Source organism: Homo sapiens, chromosome 11 (assembly GCF_000001405.40).
Source record: "Homo sapiens chromosome 11, GRCh38.p14 Primary Assembly".
Classification (NCBI taxonomy): Eukaryota; Metazoa; Chordata; class Mammalia; order Primates; family Hominidae; genus Homo; species Homo sapiens.
In genome coordinates this window covers 46,253,308-46,274,743 of record NC_000011.10, presented here as the reverse complement: position 1 = coordinate 46,274,743, position 21,436 = coordinate 46,253,308, and the positions used below count along the sequence as shown (strand labels likewise).

The following is a 21,436-nucleotide window of genomic DNA, read 5'->3' as shown; positions in this document are numbered from 1 at the left end:
GTTTGCTCCCTCCCTCCCAGTTCTTGGGCCTGGTCCCACAACCCAACCCCCCACCAAGGCCCCTCCTTTACATCTGAAGGAGTTAGGGGATGGAGGCCAACGTTGGCTCTGCAAACACCACCTCCACAGGCCCAAATACTGCAGGTCACGAGAGGCACTGATGGCAGCTCCTTCTGTGACGGGCTCAGGAACACCTGGTTGCTGCTCTCCATGAGCTGTTCCAACTGTGAAGCAAAAGCTTCATGCATAAAGGCATCCCAACGCAGTCAATGACGCACAGGAGAAAGAGGACAGAGATAAGCTTCTTGCCTGTTCCAGACACTGAGGATCAGGCAGAGAGAGAGGCTCCTGCCAGGCTGAGCTGTGAGTAGAATGGGGTGTGTGTGTGTGTGTGTGTGTGTGTGTGTGTGTGTGTGTGTGTGTAGAGTCACTGCCCTTCGTTGGGTCTCCGTTTCCATAGCTATGAAATGGGCGAGGTGTTGATGCCCTCTAGGGTTTCATCCTCTCCAAGGATCTTCCAATGTGCCCTTTCCAGGACAGGGCCTGGGGAGCAGGGGTAGGGGTCGGGGGAGTGTGAAGGGCCTCCCCGCTCAGGAGGCCTGGTACTTTGATTATCCAGGCTTCTGCCCAGAGCCTCCAGGAGGGTGCAAGCTGGTGTTTACACTCAGCAGGCAGGCCCTGGGTGGTGATAATAAGGTCACCCAAAGTAAACTTGTCTTGTTTGCCTGGGTTGTAAAGGGAAAAATGCTTTGGCACACTCTAACAGGAACTTCTGAGAAATGAAAACATATTCATCCTGGAGATTAGACTGACTTCCGGGGTGCAGACGGGGCCCTCTGTTCTCTAGCAGCTCCCTAAATTGGGCTGCATGGCTGCTTTCCCTGTGCCCCCCACTGGGGCTGGACATGGAGCCTGAGGTGGCACTCTACCAGGAGCAGGGTGGGTTTCAGAACCCCAGCTCTCACTTAGTTTAGGGCTCTCCTTTCCACCCCTTTGGCCTGTGATCCCTTTCCACCCAACCCTGAACCATAAAAATACCGGACATTTATTAGTACTTGCTTTGTGCCAGGCACTAAATACTTTTTATCATCTTGTTTAATTCTTGGAACAAGCTTGTGAGATAAGTATCGTCTTTCACTGATTCTGAGATGCACATTTCCTCAATGTTTTAACATCTCTGAAATCAGAATGTGTCTTATGATCGATGGTCTGTCATAGTTTAATGGATGATGTTTTTTCCTTCCTGAAGTACATAAAATAGTGGTGCATCATGTAATTGATGACACCTTAGAATCAACATGATATTATTATCATCCCTAATCTGCAGATGAGAAAACCAAGGCTCAGAGAGTTTATATGACTTGCCTCTTCTCGTTTTATAGAAAACCAAGGCCTGGGGCCATCAGAGGCTTGCCTTAAGTCACCCAGCCTCATGAGGCAGATAGGACTGAAACCAGGGCCTCCCGGCTCCGCACCCAGAGCCCTTTCCACTCACCCCAGTTGAACTGAATTTGCTCACTGGGCAGAGGCAGGACTGGAGGGGAGGGCCTTTCTCCAGGGCCTTCCACAGCAGCGGGTGAATCACCAACCACCCTGCCTTGGAGAAAGGCCTTAAGATAGATTTTTTTTTCCTCTTTAAATTCTCTGAAGACTGAAGTTCCTTAAAGACTAAGAAAACACTTGCCTCCCTTCCAGCTCCTTTTCCTGGTAATTATTTTTGCTTCTTTTTCCCTGAATTTCTGCTCTGCCGTCCCATCTTTGGACTGGAAGCAGGCCCGCCCCTTGGCCCTCTGTCTGCCTGCCATCTGGGAAACAGCTCCACCCGCTTCCTGCTTTGCTCTCCTCCTGTTCTCAAGTCACCCTTCTCCCCTCCAGCCTGAATCACCTGCTCCAACTCCGCTTCTAGACATCTCTAGAACGCAGCCACCTGGCTCCCTCCCCAGAAGACACGCACTCAGGCATACCACCACCCTCCATCTCCTCGCTCTTGAAGTCTCCAGTAATAGGAGAGAAACCAACAAAGCCACTTGTTTCCTCCTGCCTTGAGTCCTCATATTGTTGGGGACACTCCCCTGCAAATCCTGCCCCACCTAGGGCTGGCAGAGCTGGAACTATGGGGCTAAGAGGAAGGGCAGGGGCACGGAAAGTTGGAGGCCTGACTCTGCCTACGACCTCCTGCTCTTGCCAAGCCCTTATCCCCCCAACCCACCGTGAGCCTCAGATTCCCCAACCTCCAAGGCTGGTGAGACTGAAGTAGCTTGTCCCCAGGAAGGAGGGAGGCAGCATCAGGCATTTAAATCAAAGGCTTTGCTAAAATGCATCCAGTCACCATGTGCTTCACTGGGGACTGATAACAGTCAAGGTTAAGCCAGGGCCTCAGATTCTTCCCTGGAAAATGAGGGTCTTAGCTTGGTCTCTGAAATCCCATCCTCCCAGCTCTGAAATGCTATGATTCTGTCTCCCTCTGCCCAGAAAGCAAATACGGCCTTTGTGTGTGAGGAGTCTGAGTGTCCCCTGGGCAGTGATTGGCTGGGAGCTAGGTGTGCATACAGCTCCTCCCTCCCCGAGGATGTCTGGAGGTGTGAATCTAAGTGTGGGGCTTCCACATTTGCACATGTGTATGTGCCAGCTCACACCTAGGGGCGGGCTGCCTCTCTGTGTGCATCCATGCCAGCGCGTGCGGCTGCAAATCTGGTTTCCATCTTCTCCCGGTAGGCAGCAGGGCTCGGGGAGACTGAGTGGAATATTAATTGTGCTCTTGCACGTGGCCCAGCTCCATGAATGTGGTGGTCGAAGGGAGCAGCCTGGAGCTATGCGGGGAATGAGGGAGAAGCCACAGGAGCAGGGCTCCCTGGGGCTTAAAGCCATGCTGGGAAGGAGGCAGGGGCTGAGACCCAGAAGGGTGGGTGGCAGTGGGAGGGGGAGAGCTTCTGAGGCCAAGGATTTGGGGACAGCAGGGAAGATACCAGCTAGGTTGAGGAGGATTCCCACCTTTGCCTAACCCAGGTGTTCGATAAATGTTTGCTGAATGACTGAAGAGCTGAATCCTCCCATGCCTGTGAGATCAATGGATATCCCTTCCCTGGGAGCAGACAGAGTAGGAAGAAGGATGGAAATGGGCACATATTAAGCACCTACTGTATGCCAGCCACTCTAGGTGACACTGTCAAGCATTTCATTTTATTTCAGACTCACAAAGACCCTGGGAGATTGTATTACCCCCACATGGGGAGGGGCCCACTATACACATATCCTTCACCTCTACCTGCCACCTTGTCCCTTTAGGAAGGTCTGGGGAAGCATCTTTTCTTTTACTTCAGGGCCCATCAAAGCTGGCTGCTTCTGAGCAGCAGGCCTATTTTTAACTTGAGGGACACTCCGGGTTTTGTAGTTCATTGCATTACTTTCTTTACTTGAGCTGTGAGGAAGCTCAGAGATCAATTTGCTGAGGTCCACCTCTTGCAGCAGGAAGAGGAGGTTCATTCCACACACTCACTGCAGCCCGCCTTCATCTTGTGTTTGTTCTCCTTTCCTCCATATCTTTTTCCTCCATTAACAACCATCGAATTCCATTGTCTGTAGGGTTTCTCAAATGCCTTTAGAAGGGAGACAGAAATACACACATATTTTTGCCTTTATAGGTGAAGTGAGTGAGGCTCAGAGAGGTTATGTTATTTGTCTAAGGATTACACAGCCATTAAGCGGGAGTATTGGAAAGTTGATCTGGCCTCCGACTTCATCTTTCTGCTGCGTCAGACTCTGGGATTGGATAAATTGCATAGTAACCGGGGGGGTTTCCAGAGAGTTGGGAGGAGGCTGAGGCCTTTTCAGACTCAGCCTTTACCTCCCATTGGCCCTAACCCAGGTTCCTCTTTTTGAGGAGCAGGTCCAGGTGGGGACTTCCATCCTTTTCATGCACAGAAAGGGGGCCCCGTGGGCCATTCTCAGGGACCAGCTCCAGCCTCTGTGGCTGAGCAGAACTAACAGAAACCCAGCAGGCTTGGCCTTGGCAATCACTAGTTAATGCAAATATCAATTCCAGGTGCTCTGAGGAACATTTCGGGAGCCTCCAGAACTGAAGAGGGGGCCAACTCTCTGGAGAAAAATGAATGGATGTAGGCCCAAAGGAGCCGAATGTTTTCCTTGGCTGAATGGCAAGCAAGCACCAAGTGTCCACAGGTCAGGGTGAGGGGCCCCAAGGGTGTGTATTCTGCAACCCAGTCCCTCAATGTGTCCCTTCAGACCAGCCCGCCAGGATTCTCTGTCTTCTGGAATGAAGACTTAGGGTTTCCTGGGGAGGCTTTACTTGAACTCATTAGTGAATTTTTTTTTGAGACGGAATCTTGCTCTGTCGCCCACACTGGAGTGCAGTGTGAGATCTCAGCTCACTGCAACCTCCACCTCCTGGGTTCAAGTGAAGCTCCTGCTTCAGCCTCCCAAGTAGCTGGGATTACAGGCATGCACCACCACACCTGGCTAATTTTTGTGTTGTTTTTTTTTTTTTTTGAGATGGAGTCTTGCTCTGTTGCCCAGGCTGGAGTGCAGTGGTGCGATCTTGGCTCACTGCAAGCTCCACCTCCCAGGTTCACACCATTCTCCTGCCTCAACCTCCCGAGTAGCTGGGACTACAGGCGCCCACCACCACGCCTGGCTAATTTTCTGCATTTTTTAGTAGAGACGGGGTTTCACTGTGTTAGCCAGGATGGTCTCGATCTCCTGACCTTATGATCCACCCGCCTCAGCCTCCCAAAGTGCTGGGATTACAGGCGTGAGCCACTGTGCCTGACCTAGTTTTCATGTTTTTAGTAGAGACAGGGTTTCACTATGTTGGCCAGGCTGGTCTTGAACTCCTGGCTTCAAGTGATCTGCCTGCCTTGGCCTCCCAAAGTGCTGGGATTACAGCACTTTCTTGTAGGAGCTGGTATTACACACATACCCCACAAACTTGGGGACCTCCAGGGAAGACACAGAGAATGAGCCTCATCTAGAGTAAAAGGGAAGGTTGTTGTTCTGAGGGCTGCAGCTGGAAGCACCTAGGAGAATGATAATCTCTGACTACCCAGAGGAGACTGGTTAAGAGACACAGAGCCAGTGACAAAAGACTCTGCTCCTTGAGGGCTGTCCAGATGAGCCCCAAGGTCTTCAATGTGGGACCCCTTCAAACATCAGCATGCATGGCTTGGAGGAGAAATAATCAGAAATATATAGTGATTTTCACAAACTGCCATTTATTGGGTCTTGTTACTTTTCAATGCTCTGCCAGTTTGCAATGCATAACTCAATCTTCTGAATCAATAGAGCGCCTATAAATCAATAAGACAAAGACCAACAATCCAATAAAAATATTGGCAAAGAATATGAACAGTAAATCTTATATATTTATACAATATAGCATTGATCAAGTCCCAGGATATATGCTAAACACATCCTATGAGTTTTCTTTTTTTTTTTTTTGAATTTTTATTGGTGCCAAGATGAGTTTCCTCATTTACATCTTACCATAACCCTTGGAGGCAGGTACTAGGATTACTCTGTTTTATTGAGGCCCAGAGAGATGAAGTAACTTGCCCAAGGTCACACATAGTCCATGATCTGGAGGCACGAGTTGAGATGGCAGGACCGTTTACTGGAATCCAGGGTCTCAGGAAAACCTGGTGGGAGCGAGGGAGGGAAAACGACAGAGGGACAGCCAGCTGAGGTAGAATCACATTTACCCAGCAACTTGTGAAGAATCCAAGAATCCCCAGTCCTAGGTGGAAGTTTGTGTGTGTGTGTCTTTTTCAATTTCTTGAATAGATAATGCATTCAGATGGTTTAAAAAATAAAAAAAGAATACAACAAAAAGTAATCCCCCCATCTCTGCATCCTATATCCTAACCACTAAGTTCCCACCCTTTAACTAACATATAATCAATTTTATTACTTGCTTGGGCATCCTTCTATGGTGTGTGTGTGTGTGTGTGTGTGTGTGTGTGTGTGTGTGTGTGTTTAGATATTTCTCTCTCTCTGTTTTTTTTTTTTTTTTTGAGATGGAGTCTCGCTCTCACCCAGGCTGGAGTGCAGTGGCGCGATCTCAGCTCACTGCAAGCTCCACCTCCCAGGTTCATGCCATTCTCTTGCCTCAGCCTCCCGAGTAGCTGGGACTACAGGCACCCGCCACCATGCCCAGCTAATGTTTTGTATTTTTAGTAGAGATGGTGTTTCACCATGTTAGCCTGGATGGTCTCGATCTCCTGACCTCGTGATCCACCCGCCTTGGCCTCCGAAAGTGCTGGGATTACAGGCGTGAGCCACTCAGGGACTCAAGCAATCCTTCTGCCTCAGCCTCCTGAGTAGCTGAGCACTACAGGTGTGCCCAGCTAACTTTTTAATTTTTTGTAGAGACAGGGTCTCACTATGTTGCCCAGGCTGGTCTTGAACCCCTGGCCCCAACTGATTGTCTTGCTTTGCCTCCCAAAGTGCTGGGATTATCAGGCATGTGCCACAATACCAGGACTCCCTCTCTCTTTCTTTTTAAATTGAAAAGTATTATACACACTGTTCTGCATCTTTTCCCCCCACTTAATCTATTTTCAAGATCTTCCTGTATTAGCACACAGAGAACTTCCTCATCCTTTTTTTTAAAATAGCTGCATAGCCACCCATTGTATGAATGTACCATCATTTATTTACCTGACCCCAATTAATGGACAATTGGATTGTTTCTAGTTTTTTTACTGTAACAAACAGTGCTGCAAAGATAGGCTTGTTCAAGCACTGCATGTAGGATAAATTCTCAGAAGTAGGATTCCTGGGTCAAAGAGAACATGCATTTGTAATGTTGTAAGTATTCTCAAATATCTTGTACCAATTTACACTCCCATCAGCAATATACGACATTGTTGGTTGTTCTACAGTCTCTCAAAGAGAGGATATTATCAAACTTTTGGAGTTTTCTTTTCTTTTTTTTTTTTGAGACGGAGTCTCGCTTTGTACCCCAGGCTGGAGTGCAGTGGCGCAGTCTCGGCTCACTGTAAGCTCTGCCTCCCGGGTTCACGCCATTCTCCTGCCTCAGCCTCCAGAGTAGCTGGGACTACAATTAATTAGCCCAGCTAATTAATTGTATTTTTAGTAGAGACGGGGTTTCACCATGTTAGCCAGGATGGTCTCGATCTTCTGACCTCGTGATCCGCCCGCCTCGGCCTCCCCAAATGCTGGGATTACAGGCATGAGCCACTGTGCCCAGCCTGGAATTTTCTAATCTGATAAATAAGAAATGATTTCCAGTGTATTTTATTTATTTTTTTGGAGACAAGGTCTTGCTCTGTCGCCCAGGATGGAGTGCGGCAGTACAGCTATGGCTCACTGTAGCCTTGACCTCCTGGGCTCAAGCAATCCTCCCACCTCAGCTATATGAGTAGCTGGGACTACAGGCATGCACCACCATGCTTAGATAATTTATTATTATTATTTGTAGAGATGGGGTCTCACTATGTTGCCCAGGCTGGTCTCAACTTCTGGCCTTAAGTGATCCTCCTGCTTCAGCCCCCGAAAGTGCTGGGAGTACACTCATTTACACCTTACCATGTTTAGCAGAGATGGGGTTTTTACCATATTGGTCAGGCTGGTCTGGAACTCCTAACCTCAGGTGAGGAGACCTGACTTGGCCTCCCAAAGTGCTAGGATTACAGGCGTGAGCCATGGTGCCCAGCCATAGCCTCCAGTATATTTTAAATTTGCATTTATCTTGAGTAGGATTGAGCATCTTTTTAGATGTGTTAGGACAATTTATGTTTCCTTTTCTGTAGACTCTATTCACGTTCTTCAACCTTTAAAAATTGGTGGTTGGTCTTACTGATTTCTAGAAGCTAAACTTTACATGTTAGAGATACTGTGATGTGATTTGCAAGGGAAGTGGGGCCAGAATTTGCATCCTCCCTGGGAAAGTCCGTAGAGGTGGATTCTTCCTCACTTCTCTCACCATCTCATGCAAGCCCAACCATCTATTCAAAGAGCATTTATTTGCTGCACGCAGTGGCTCACGCCTGTAATCCCAGCACTTTGGGAGGCCAAGGCAGGTGGATCACCTGAGGTTAGGAGTTCCAGACAAGTCTGACCAGTATGGTAAAACCCCATCTCTACTAAAAATACAAAAATTAGCCATGTATGGTAGCATGCACCTGTAATCCCAGCTACTCAGGAGGCTGAGACAGGAGAATCACTTCCACCCGGGAGGTGGAGGATGCAGTGAGCCAAGATCGCATCACTGCACTTCAGCCTGGGCGACAGAGCGAGACTCTGTCCCCCATAAAAATAAAAAGTCTTAAAAAAAAACAACCAAAGAGCATTTATTGAATACTTCTTGTGTGCCAGGCTCAGTGCTGAGGCCCACGAGACCAGAGGTGAATAGACACAGCCCTCCGGCTGCTTGCAATCTAGTTGAGAAGCCAGATCTGCAATCAGGCAGGTTGTAGTATAGCGTGAGATAAACTGTAGTTCAGGGATTCAGAATGGGTGCTCCAGGAGCATGGGGGAGGAGGCAGTAGCCTCTGCCTGTCTCAATAGCTCTGACATCCATCTCTACCTGGGGCTGGCTTTGCCCGCCTTCCGTGTCTCTGTGGGTTCAGCCCTCAGACCCTGATTGCAGAAAAGCTCTGCTCCAGGAAGATATCTCCCTTGGAACATATGTACAGAGTGCTTACCACACGCCAACCCTTCCTGCACCTATCGTGTGTACTCTGCCTCCACCCAGCTTCCTTCCCTGCCCTGCACTGGTCCTCAGCAGGTGCCACTTTCCCTTCCATTGCCTGCCACCTGTTTCGAGTGGGCATTCCCCTGCTGCTTAGAGGGATCGTCAGCTCCTTGCTGACAGGAAGGGAGATTTTCCCTTGGGTCCCCTCCCCTGGGTGCTTGACATCTGGTGGCATTCGTCAAAGGCTTGTTGGGTGATTGATTGGCTGGTGTTGAGGAAGTCTGAAACCATGGCTTACCTGAACTGGGGTGTATATGGTGGAGGTGAGAATGGCGCATGTTAGGCACAGGAATGGATGCTGTGCCAAGCTGAAACCCTGGCATCCGGGCCCAACCAGGAAAGGGTTAAGTTTGCTGGAGTTTTGTATATGAAATGGCACCAGAAAAAAAAAGTGCAGACTAGCAATTGAGCCCTGTCTCATCCTGGTTCAAATGACATTGTCTGCGCTTCCCCAGCCTCGCCTCCTGCACTAATTACAGACCTTCCCTGGGGAGGAAGACTGGGGCCAGGAGGTCTTCATTACAGGCTCCCTTGCTGGAAAGAGCAAACCCCAATGACCAAACCCAATGACCAAACCAAGTCTCTTGAAGAGAGGCCCAGGGCTTCCTATCTTGAGCTCCCTGCTGCCGCCTGGCTGGGAAAGGGTTAAGAAGCGGGCATGGAATGGAGAGATGCATCGAGATTTAATCACAAGGAGCACCCCCTTTGCTAAGGTGTCCTCCTGGCTCCCCTTGCCGAGGACTGGGCCCCCTTCTCTCCTCTTGCCCCCCAAGATGGCCACTGCCAGGGCTGTGTCGGGGCCTCTCCGCTGTGGTCGCCTGCTGGCTGCCTCTCCCTGTGGCCTTGTGGAGACTGAGCCTTCTTTAATCTTCCATTTATCCTGAGGCCTCGCCCCTCCGAGATTGGCTTTGATGTGGGGCCTGCTCTTGGGGGAAATCACGGGTTTCTGAGGCCTGGGCTGGGCTCTGCCCACTGCCCCCAGCCCAGGAAGGCCCCAGAGAGAGGTCTCCCATCATCAGGGCCAGACCCAGAGGGTGACCTTGGCAGTCCAGATAAAAGTTTCAGGCCCTGCTGTTCAGGCAGATGGAGGGGCTGCTGCCCACACCCCAAAGTGGAGCAGAGGGCTCAGGATAAGAGCTTTATTATCACAAATTACTTATTTCCACACCTGTCTCCCCGCTTTGAGATGGCAAGCACCAAAACAACAACAGCATGAACAATGACAGTAAAACAGCAACCATTATTGCGTGTCACTAAGCTCCCCTGCACCAGGCAAAGCATCTTCCACTATGACATCATTTAATTTTTTTTTAAATAACGTTTTTGTTTGTTTGTTTTTTCATTTTTTTTTTTTTTTTTTTTTTTTTGAGACGGAGTCTTGCTCTGTCACCCAGGCTGGAGTACAGTGGCGTGATCTTGGCTCATTGCAACCTCCACCTCCTAGGTTCAAGCGATTCTCCTGCTTCAGCCTCCCAAGTAGCTGGGATTACAGGTGCCCACCGCCACATCCGGCTAATTTTTGTATTTTTAGTAGAGCAGGGTTTCGCCATGTTGGCCAGGCTGGTTTCAAACTCCTAACCTCAAGTGATCCGCTCGCCTCAGACTCCCAAAGTGCTGTGATTACGGGTGTGAGCCACTGAGCCCAGCCAACATAATTTAATTCTTATAACTATGTGGCTGTATGTATCATTTTAAAGGGGAGGAAAGTGAGGGTCATTGATTTATTTGTGTAACAAAAATTTGTTGAGCTCCTACTATGTGCCAGGCACTGTTCTAGGCACAGAGGAGTAAACAAAATGGGTGTATCTGTACCCTTGTGTACTAATAGGAGGGATAGGTCATTAACAAATGGTCGAATACAGGTAGTATCAGGTTGCATAATATAGAGACAGTGTTTTGAAGAAGAGTACAGTTGATAGTGACAGGGCCACTGTTTTGGATGCCATGGTCAGGGATTGGCTTTTTTTTTCTTTCTTGAGACAGGGTCTCACTCTGTTGCCCAGGCTGGAGCGTAGTGACATGATCATAGCTCACTGCATCCTCAACATCCTGTGCTCAAGCAATTCTCACACCTCAGCCTCCTGAACAGCTGGGACTATAGGCATGTGCCACCAGCCTGGCTAATTTTTTTTATTGTTTTTTTTTTTTTGAGAGGGAGTCTCACTCTGTCTCCTAGGCTGCAGTGTAGTGGCGCGATCTCAACTCACTGCAACCTCTGCCTTCTGGGTTTAAGCAATTCTCGTGCCTCAGCCTTCTGAGTAGCTGGGACTACAGGCACGGGCCACTGTGCCCAGCTAATTTTTGTATTTTTAGTAGAGACAGGGTTTTGCCATGTTGGCCAGGCTAGTCTCAAACTCCCGACCTCAAGTGATCTGCCCACCTTGGCCTCCCAAAGTGCTGAGATTACAGGTGTGAGCCACCATCCCTGGCCCATGCCTGGCTAATTTTTGTATTTTTTATAGAGACGGGGTTTCACCATATTGCCCAGGCTGGTCTCGAACTCCTGGGCTCAAGCCATCCGCCCACCTTGGTCTCCCAAAGTGCTGGGACTACAGTTGTGAGCCACTGCATCTGGCCAGGGATGGCCTCTCTGAGAAGCTGGAGACCTGAGTGGCAGGAGGGAGTTAGCCATGTGTCCATCTGGAGAAAGTGCATCCAGGAGAGGGAAGAGAAGGGCAAAGATCAAAGGTTGGAGATGCTTGTCTTGCTTTAGGCATAGCCAGGAGCCAGGGCATCTGAGGGTGGGAAGAGAGATGAACAGAAAGAGGAAATGAACTGGATATGGGAGCAGTGACTGGGTCATATGTGGATTTTACTCTGAGCTGATGCCTTTGGAGGGTTTGAGCACGAGGCTGGTTTGATCTAGGTTATGTTTTGAATCTGAGACTCAAAATGTGAGATGTGGAGGTTAGGAACCAGTTCAGGCTCACAAGGCTAGTCAGTGGGGAAGTCGAGATTCAAACACAGGTTCTGTCTGACTTGAGAAACTGTGCTTTTGCCATTATGCAGTTGGCCACCTTGAGGGGCAGGGACTGTGTTCCATTCACCTCAGTATCCCCTGTGCCTAGCAGAAAGCCTGGCAGAAGCTACATGCACAGTGCTTGGGAAGTGATGGATTCAGTTCTGGCACTTCTACAGTCCTGGAAAGTCATTTAACTCTCTCTGAGTCTCAGTTTGTTCATCTGAAAGTGGGGGAGAAAACAACACCTGTCTTGTTTGTAGGGCCCTGCCTGGTGAGGATCATATGAGCCCTAGTGTGTAGCAGGGCTTGTGTGGTGTGAGCAGAGAAATGCTCTGCTCTCTGATTTCATCTGTCCTTACTCCCATGCAGGGCTCTTAACCTGGCTGCTTAGAGGCTCAGACACGTTCTTTCTTTCTTTATTTTTTATTTTTTTGCAGACAGAGTTTTGCTCTTGTCACCCAGGCTGGAGTGCAATGACACGATCTTGGCTCACTGCAACCTCCGCCTCCCGGGTTCAAGTGATTCTCCTGCCTCAGCCTCCTGAGTAGCTGGGATTATAGGCATGCATCACCATGCCTGGCTAATTTTTGTATTATTAGTAGAGACGGGGTTTCACCACGTTGGTGAGGCTGGTCTCGAACTCCTGACTTCAGGTGATCCACCCGCCTCGGCCTCCCAAAGTGTTGGGATTACAGGCATAAGCCACCGTATCCGGCCTAGACACGTTCTTACGGTCCCCTGCTCTACCCTATGGAGCAAGACATGCTCATGCCACCTGTCTCGTGTATGTGTGTGCATATGCCTGTTCACTTGTGTCAGTAGCACCTAGACCACAGCTGTGTTAGAGACAGGGTTTTGCCATGGTACCAAAGCGGCTCAGAGGGGGCAATGATCTACTCTGCTTTTGAGGGGAGGACAGGAAAGTTTCACAGTATAGAGGGATCTTGATGCGGTCTTGAAGGATGAACAGGTGTTTTCTAGCTGGACAAAAAGAGAAAGGGCATCCTGGGTAAAGGGAAGAACATGGCAAAAATCCTGGAGGTATGGCAGAGCTTGGCACCTTGGAGATGCTGCTAACGGGTATGGCTGAAACTTATCAAGGATGGAAGGGTGTAGTAAGATACAGGGCTGGAGAGGGTAGCCAAGAGCTAGGTGGTCAGGGCCTTTAGGCACTCTAAGAAATTCTATGAGTTATCCTGAAGGCAAATGGGAGCCACTGTTAATTTTTTTTTTTTTTTGAGACAGAGTCTCACTCTGTTGCCCAGGCTGGAGTGCAGTGGTGTGATCTCAGCTCACTGCAACCTCCGCCTCTCAGGTTCAATTCATTTTCCTGCTTCAGCCTCCCAAGTAGCTGGGATTACAGGTGCGCACCACCATGCCTGGCTAATTTTTGTATTTTTAGTAGAGACGGGACTTCACTATGTTGGCCAGGCTGGTCTTGAACTCCTGGCCTCAAGTGATTCACCTGCCTTGGCCTCCCAAAGTGCTGGGATTACAGGTGTGAACCACTGTGCCTGGCCCACTGTTCAATTTTTAAGGAGGCTAATGACATGATCAGATGCATTTTAGATCAACCACTCTGCTGTGGTGTGGACAGCAGACTGGAGGTGAGCAAGACCAGCCTGTGGTGTTATGAGGCTGTTGCTGTTCTCCAGGTGGGATATGATGAGGCCTGAAGTAAAGTTAACAATGGCAAACAGTTACCCGGCACTGACTATGTGCCAGCCAGGCTCTGCACTAAACACTTGCAGATATTATCACATTTCATCCTCAGTGCTACCATGTGAGTGGTGCTGTCATTATTATCACACCTGTATTACAGACCGAGGAATGGAGGCTCAGCCACATAGCAGATAAGTGGCAGAAGGAGGACTTAAATCCATCCACCCTGACTTCAGCACCCACTGGCCTACCCCCTATAATATTCTGCCAAATAATGAAGGCAGTGGGTGGAGACAAGGGCTTGGAGTCCAGTGCTGGTTAGGAAGTGGGTCCACCAGGATATTGGCGCGAGGGAGGGGAAGAAATCAGAGGCTTCTTCTCAATCAGTGGGATCAACAGCGAACCCAGACAAACCAGTAGGTTTTATGGCCCCTATACCTGTAAGTCTAGGATTCAGGGACAGTGTCCAAGCCACAGAAGAGGATTCCAGTGTGTCATTGTTACTGTTACTGTGGGCCTCCTTATGGGGGGATGACACAGGCCAGGGTCCATCAGAAGTCTCTACCCACTCCCCAGCAGGAGGGGCGCTACCCATAAGTTTAGGCCATGTGAGAGCATTTTTGTGGCCTTTGTTGTCTTTCCAGGACCCTCTTGCTCTCAGAGGGCCAACTGGTTTCCCCTAGGACATTAGGAAGGGCACTCCTACTGTGTCACACGGCTGGGTGGTCAGCTCCGCATGGGCCATCTCAGGGCCAGGCCTTGACCTTCACTTGCTGAGGTTGGGCTGGGGGTGCCCCATTTCCTTGGGCCCTGAGGACTCTCAGAGAGGTAGAGTCCTTTGAGTCTGGTCTTTGAGCCAAAGCTGAGAAAATGGAACCTGCTTCCTATTAAGTGGTTTCCACCCAGCAGTGTGAATTCTGTTTGTATTTTCCCTCCTGGGCCATGGTTTGCGATGCTGGCCTCCCCACCTGCCCCTGTGGGTTTTTCCAGGCTCTGTGGTGGGCTGGGCCAGCTGACGTCAGGAGGCTCAGGGGCTGTGTGCCTCGCGGCCGACGCACCTGCTGATTCACGCTGTGGCCTCCACCTGCGGCTTCACTTTGCCCTTCACAGGTCGGGGCATTGGTTTTCTTTTTTAATAAATAAAGCTGAACCTGATTCACAACTCAAGAGAGGCCTCAGCTTGTTTGGAGCCATCAGCATTACCATGGCAACCATGCCGTCCATGAGCACTTGAAAATATCATTATCCACAGTGACCCTGCATCCTCCCTCTTGCCTCACAGCAGCCTCAGGCCTCCATAGCTCCTGGCCCTTGGAGTTCAGCCCAGGTATAGGCTCTCCCAAAAGCAGGGAGTTGGAAGTATAAACCTGAGGTTCCCACTCACCCTCATCTTACCCCCCTGCCACCTGCACATCCTTCTGAAAGGAGCTGAGAAAAATCCCTTTCATTTTGGGGCAGGCACTAGGAACAGACATTAAGCCGACATTTTGGAGCCGCCCCCCCTCTTTCTTTTTTGAGCTGGATCTCACTCTATTTCCCAGGCTGGAGTGCAGTGGCGTGATCTCGGCTCACTGCAACCTCCGCCTCCTTGTTCAAGTGATTCTCCTGCCTCAGCCTCCCGAGTAGCTGGGAGTGCAGGCATGCGCCATCATGCCCGGCTAATTTTTGTATATTTTTAGTAGAGATGGGGGAGGGTCTCACCATGTTGCCCAGGCTGGTCTCAAACTCCTGACCTCAAGTGATCTGCCTGCCTTGGCCTTCAAAAGTGCTGGGATTACAGGCGTGAGCTACCGTGCCTGGCCAGAGCCCCCAAATTAACAATATCTATCTATCTATCTATCTATCTATCTATCTATCTATCTATCTATCTAATCTCTATTTAGAGACAGGGTCTTGCTCTGTTGCCAAGGCTGGAGTGCAGTGGCATGATTACAATTCACTGCAGCCTCGACCTCCTGGGCTCAAGCAATCCTCCTACCTCAGCCTCCTGAGTAGCTGGGACTACAGATGCATGCCACCATGCTCAGCTAATTTTTAAATTATTTTTTTGTAGAGACCAGATTTTGCCATGTCACCCAGGCTGGTCACAAACCCCTGGGATCAAGTGATCCTCCCACCTCAGCCTCCCAAAGTGTCAGGATTACAGGCGTAAAACACCGCATCCAGCCATAATTTCTTTCCTTTTTCTTTCTTTCTTTCTTTTTTTTTTTTTGGAGACAGTCTAGCACTGTGGCTCAGGCTGGAGTGCAGTGGCCCCATCACAGCTTACTGCAACCTCTGCCACCTGGGTTCAAGCGATTCTCCTGTCTCAGCCTCCCGAGTAGCTGGAACTACAGGTGCGAGCCACCATGCCCGGCTTATTTTTGTATTTTTAATAGAGATGAGGTTTTGCCATTTGGCCAGGCTGGTCTCGAACTCCTGACCTCAAGTGATCCACCTGCCTCTGCCTTTCAAAGTGCTGGGACTGCAGGCGTGAGCCACCGCACCTGGCCATGATTTCTATGGGGAGGATAAAATTGTGTGTTAGATACAGATGCAGAGATAATAAGGCCTAGAGTTAAAAGGTATGTGAGAGTGTTCATAATAATAATAATAAGCATTTATTGAATACCCACCACCATGAGTCAGGCAGTGTACAAGATGTGTTACATACCTTGTGTCCAGTCTTCTGCTGTAATTACTCACGTAGAGGCAATTTTAATTAACAAATTAATTTTAATTAATTTAATAATACTATCTGGCATTTATTGAGTGCCAGACACTCTGCTATGCTCTTTAACATTTAATTTCACATGTGAAACACTATGATTATCTTCATTTTACAGATGAGAAGACTGAGGTTTACAGAGTACTAATGTGCCTGAGGTCATTCAGTTACCGAAGGATGAAGCTGCGATTTAAGTTTAGGTCTGCCTGACTGGTGTCCCCATTATTCTATAATAGCCTAAGGCTTAAATGAGGTTCAAGCTATCTACTGAGCAAATGGAGATTCCATGTTTGCCTGGCTTAGGAGGTTTCTTCCAAGGGCTTTGAGTGATATTTCTCCCCCTAGAATGGTCTGTCCCTGATCACCCTCATCAGGGTCACCTGGGGATATTTGAAAGTCTAGGCCCACCAACACCTACTGCATCAGATTTTTGGATGTGGTCCCCAGGATTCTGTATTTTAGGTAACTCACCAGGTTGAACTCTAATGAGAATTTAGAATTAGCTGCCCTCCTGAAGAGCATGAAAGGGACCACGTCTTCTCTGAGACTTCCCCACGGCCAGGCACATAGGCCACAGCCCTGTGAGGGGCTCAAAAGCATTTGTTGAACCCGAATAAAGAAAGAATGGGCCCCATTGAGTCCCCCAAGACTTTCCAGGGCCAGGGACTCCCTTGGTCCTGAGAGTCTGTAGTTTCCTCTTACTGCCCCACTCCCCGCTACTTCCTGAGGCCCCTGGACTCCCCGACCTACAGTGGAACTGCCCACCAGGCCCTGCCCTGTCCTATGACTTCCCCTGCAACAGGAGCAGCAGGGTATACCAGTTGCTAAAAAACTTCATTTGTTAACAGGAAGAAAATCAGCCAGCTTTCCAGGCAGATACCACCCTGACTCCCCAGCAAAATATCTGAGGTGGGCACCCACAGAGTGGAGAGGAAAGCTTGGCATCTCTTTCTCTGACAAGTTTTAAACATAAAAGAGGCTTATTTAGCAAGAGTAATAATAGTAATCTGAGTATCTCTTGATACCCAGAGATCAAGTAATAAGATCCATAAGTGATGCTACATATATATAACAGAATATTAAGCAGCCATTAAAAATTAAGAATTTATATATTCTTAACTAATAAGTATAAATCTTAACTGAGAAAAATTAAGAATTTAAATATTCGGCTGGGCGCGGTGGCTCATGCCTGTAATCCTTGCATTTTGGGAGGCCGAGGTGGGCGGATCCCTTGAGCCCAGGAGTTTCAGACCAGCATGGGCAACATGGCAAAACCCTGTCTCTACAAAAAATACAAAAATTAATGGGGTGTGGTGGTGTGTGCCTGTAGTCCCAAGTACCCTGGAGGCTGAGGAGAGAGAACTGCTTGGGCCTGGGAGGTCAAAGCTGCAGTGAGCCATGATCATGCCACTGCACTCCAGCCTGGGTGACAGAGCAAGACCCTGTCTCATTAAAAACAAAAGGAAAAAAAAGAATTTCAAAGAATATTTAATGATATGGGGAAATGTTCAACAAAATATAAGAAAGCAGGATACAAAACTATATACACTGGAAAGATGTTTGTGATGTGTGGTAGAGATACCAGTTGCTCCCCAATATGTGTTCTCCCCTTTTGCCATAGTAACAGAACCCCTACTTAGATAAATAGCCTATTTCCCAGTGGCCATGGGACTACATTCTGGCTAGCAGGATATAAGCAGAAGAGGTGCATGTGAATTCCAGGAAGTATCTCTCTTAGACTGTTCCTGCTGCTATAACAAAATTACCTTAGAGTGAGTAATTTACGAACAATGGAAATGTATTGCTCACAGTTCTGCAGACTGGGAAGTCCAAAATCAAGGTACCAGCAGATTCAGTATCTGGTGAGGGCCTGCTCTCTGCTTCCAAGATGGCGCCTTCTTGCTGCGTCCTCATGTGGTGAAAGGGAAAACAGGTCCCTTGTGCCTTTTTGATAAGGGTACTAATCTCATTCATGAAGGCTCTGCCCTCATGACTTAATCACCTCCTAAAAGCACCACCTACTAATACTGTCACATTGGTGATTAAGTTTCAACATATGAATTTGAGGGGGATGTGTTCAGATGATAGCAGTGTCCTTGGAGAGAAAAGCTGATCTCTTCTTTGTTTCTTCCTTCTTCAGTTTCCGGAGTGTGGATATGAACAGCCGTCTTGGGTCCTGAGGTGGAAGCCATGTGTGGAAGATGGAGGGCATCGGTTAGAAGGAGTCTAGTCCCTGATGGTCACTGAGCTGCAGAACCAGCCTGGGCTGCTTCCTGCTGGATGTCACTTACTAGAGAGCGAAATTAAATGTGCTTCAGCTACTGTTACTTTGGGTTTTCTGTCATTTGTAGCTGAAATAATCCTAATCAATATGAGATATATTAAGTAAACAAAAATGCAAATGAAAACGATTATGAATTGTATGATTCCAATTTTATCTTCTTTTATGTGATTTAAGTCTTTAACTTTTAACCCAGATGATTTTATTTTAAAATGTGTGTTTATATACATCCATATGTACATAGAAAAAAGACAGGAATGTTGAAAGCTAAAGTATTAGTAGAGATTATTTCAGGATGGTAGGTTATAAGGATTTCATGTGCTTATTTATTTACCTTTTGTTTGTTCATCTGTATTTGCTAATTTTTCTATTTTTTTATTTTTATTTTTTGAGACAGGATCTCACTTTGTCACTCAGGCTGGAGTACAGTGGCACAATCATGGCTCACCACAGCCTTGACCTCCTGGGCTCAGGTGATCCTCCCACCTCAGCCTCCTGAATAGCTAGGACTTGGTACCTGCCACCACGCCTGGATAATTTTTGTATTTCTTGTTGAGACAGGGTTTCGTCATGTTGTCCAGGCTGATCTCGAACTCCTGCGCTCAAACAATCCACTGCCTCAGTCTCCCAAAGTGCTAGGATTACAGGCGTGGACCACCATGCCCGGCCTCTAATTTTTCTTCAACAAAACTGTATTACTTTTTAAATAAGAAAAAATAATAAAAGGTATAAAGTGTATGACTTAATGAGATCCATATGTATTGCAGTAATAAAAAAAACCTGAAGCCAAGGCGGGTGGATCATTTGAGGTCAGGAGTTCGAGACCAGCCTGGACAACATGGTGAAACCTCGTTTCTACTAAAAATACAAAAATTAGCCAGGAGTGGTGGTATGTGCCCGTGATCCCAGATACCTGGGAGGCTGAGGCAGGAGAATTGCTTGAAACCAGGAGGTGGAGGTTACAGTGAGCCAAGAATCCACCACTGCACTCCAGCCTGGGCGACAGAGCGAGACTGTGTCTCAAAAACAAAAAAACAAAACAAAACAAAAAAAACCTTATTCTCAGAATGAAGATCTGAAATAAGAAACAAACAAACAAACAAAAAATATTTTAAAAAGGAAATAGAAAACAAATAACTTATTCATGATTCCATGGGAAAAAAGACTGAAAATAAGTGTTCTAAAGTAAATAAGGGCATGAGAAATTGTTCAAAATATAGTGTTAAAGAGAAAAAAGGTTATTCAACAATATGATGCCATTGTTTTTGATAAAAAGAATTAAACAACATAAATGTATGCTAGAAAAAGAACTAGAAGGAAATAAGCTGATATATTGGTGGTCTGGTTCCAGAGGAGAGATTTTAGTGATTCTTATTTTCCCCTTTATACTTTTGGTATTTTCTAAATATTTCTCTAATAAACCTGTGCTAATCTTATTTATTTCAAAATGTTTCTACTTAGAGAAATTTTAACAAGACAGAAAAGCATGTTATAAAGAATAATAAAAACACACACACATCGCCACTGCTCAAAATTAAAATGATTAATTTTTGTTATATTTAATTCCTGTCTTTATTTTAAAGAAATAAACAGTAACAGTAAAGTCCCATTTATGTATATCATCATGATCATTAAAAATATTTAAATTAGGCCAGGCACAGTGGCTCATGCCTGTAATCCCAGCACTTTGAGAGGCTGAGGCCCGAGGATTGCTTGAGCCCAGGAGTTTGAGACCAGCCTGGGCAACATAGCGAGACTGTGTCTCTACAAATAATAATTTAAAAATTAAATTAAATTAGACCTTGCCCTGTCTAGGATGGCCCAGGGTGATATTTTGTGAGGGTAGGGGATACCTGCTCAGGGATTTTAAATTCCTTTCTACCTTCAGCCAGAGGTTTGGCTCTAAGTGACTATTTCCAGGACGGGGGAGACCTGGGTGCAAGGATGCCAGATTTGTCTGGCACTTCCCCTGGAACATACAGTGGCAGGCAGGGCTGGAAGGGGAGGGTCTCAGTGGAGCACTTCCCTCCTGAGGTCAGTTGGTGCCCAACTGGTGTTTACGAAGAGGGTGGGGCCTGAGCCTCCTAGCTCTGCGGCCTTTGCTCTCGGGGGTGCTGGCCCACGGCAGGCCACAAGCAAAAGACGGTGAAACTGCTGTCTCCTGCAAGGCTCAGAGGCCGGGCCGCAGCCTGCGAGGGTTCTGGGAACTGGGGGCCCTTGCAGCTAGGTGGTAAAGTGGTCAGTGGAGGTTCTGGGGATCCAGAAAAAAGAAGGAAGAAAGGGAAGAGGCAGGAACACTCACATTTACGAGGCACCTACTGATGGGAAGGTATTATGGCCATTTCCCAGATGAGGAATCCAAGGCTCAAAGGCCTAATGACATCACTCTCCTGAGGCCTCACAGCTCCTGTGGGTCCAGGTTGAGATCCACGCTGACTTCATGCCTCATGCTCCTCACACCACACCAGGCTGCGTCCCATGGGGCTATGATGAGGCGGCCATTCTGCATTGCTCAGAGCCTACAGCAAGGCCTGGGATCATTTGGAGGTTGATTTCCAGGAGGTGGTGGGATCTGGGAATGAGATGTTCTGAGGCAGCCCATCTTCACTGGGCGTGAGTCACAAGGCTGTCAATCACCTTCTGGCAAGGAGGCTCAGAGAGGCTGGTAAAGTCTGAACTGATTTCGGAAGAGTTCTCTGGTATCCTCTTTTCTAGCCTTTATGGGCAGCAAGGGTCTCAGGCCCATAGCCAGCTCTCCAGGAAAATTTCCAAGCATCTCCTGGGATCTGAGAGGGGGATGAGAGTGGCCACCACCCGTCCCTTTGGACCTGACCTGCCAAATGCACAGCCCTGCGCTGTCCTCTCCTAGGCCAAGGCAGAGGTCGGGGTCAGGTCCGCACGTGCCTGTGTGCACTCACACATACATACACACACACGTGTGTGTTCCCCTTGGCAGGGGGCAACCTCCTGGTGGGTCCACCCTTTCCAAGACTGCCCCTTGCTTCCAGCACCTGGCAGACATCCCAAAGGAGGAACAGGCCTGGAGGCCTGGGCTGGACCACAGACTGGTTCTGAGAGTGATCTATTTATCTA

General features: G+C 48.2%; 1 long non-coding RNA gene across 1 annotated transcript; it reads left to right on the top strand.

The window, feature by feature from the left end:
- On the top strand, positions 317-19,877 carry LINC02489 (long intergenic non-protein coding RNA 2489). Its single transcript, NR_183622.1, has 3 exons — positions 317-363; positions 4,043-4,179; positions 18,203-19,877. It is a non-coding gene; the product is annotated as a long intergenic non-protein coding RNA 2489 (long non-coding RNA).
- The last annotated feature ends 1,559 nt before the right edge of the window (positions 19,878-21,436 follow it).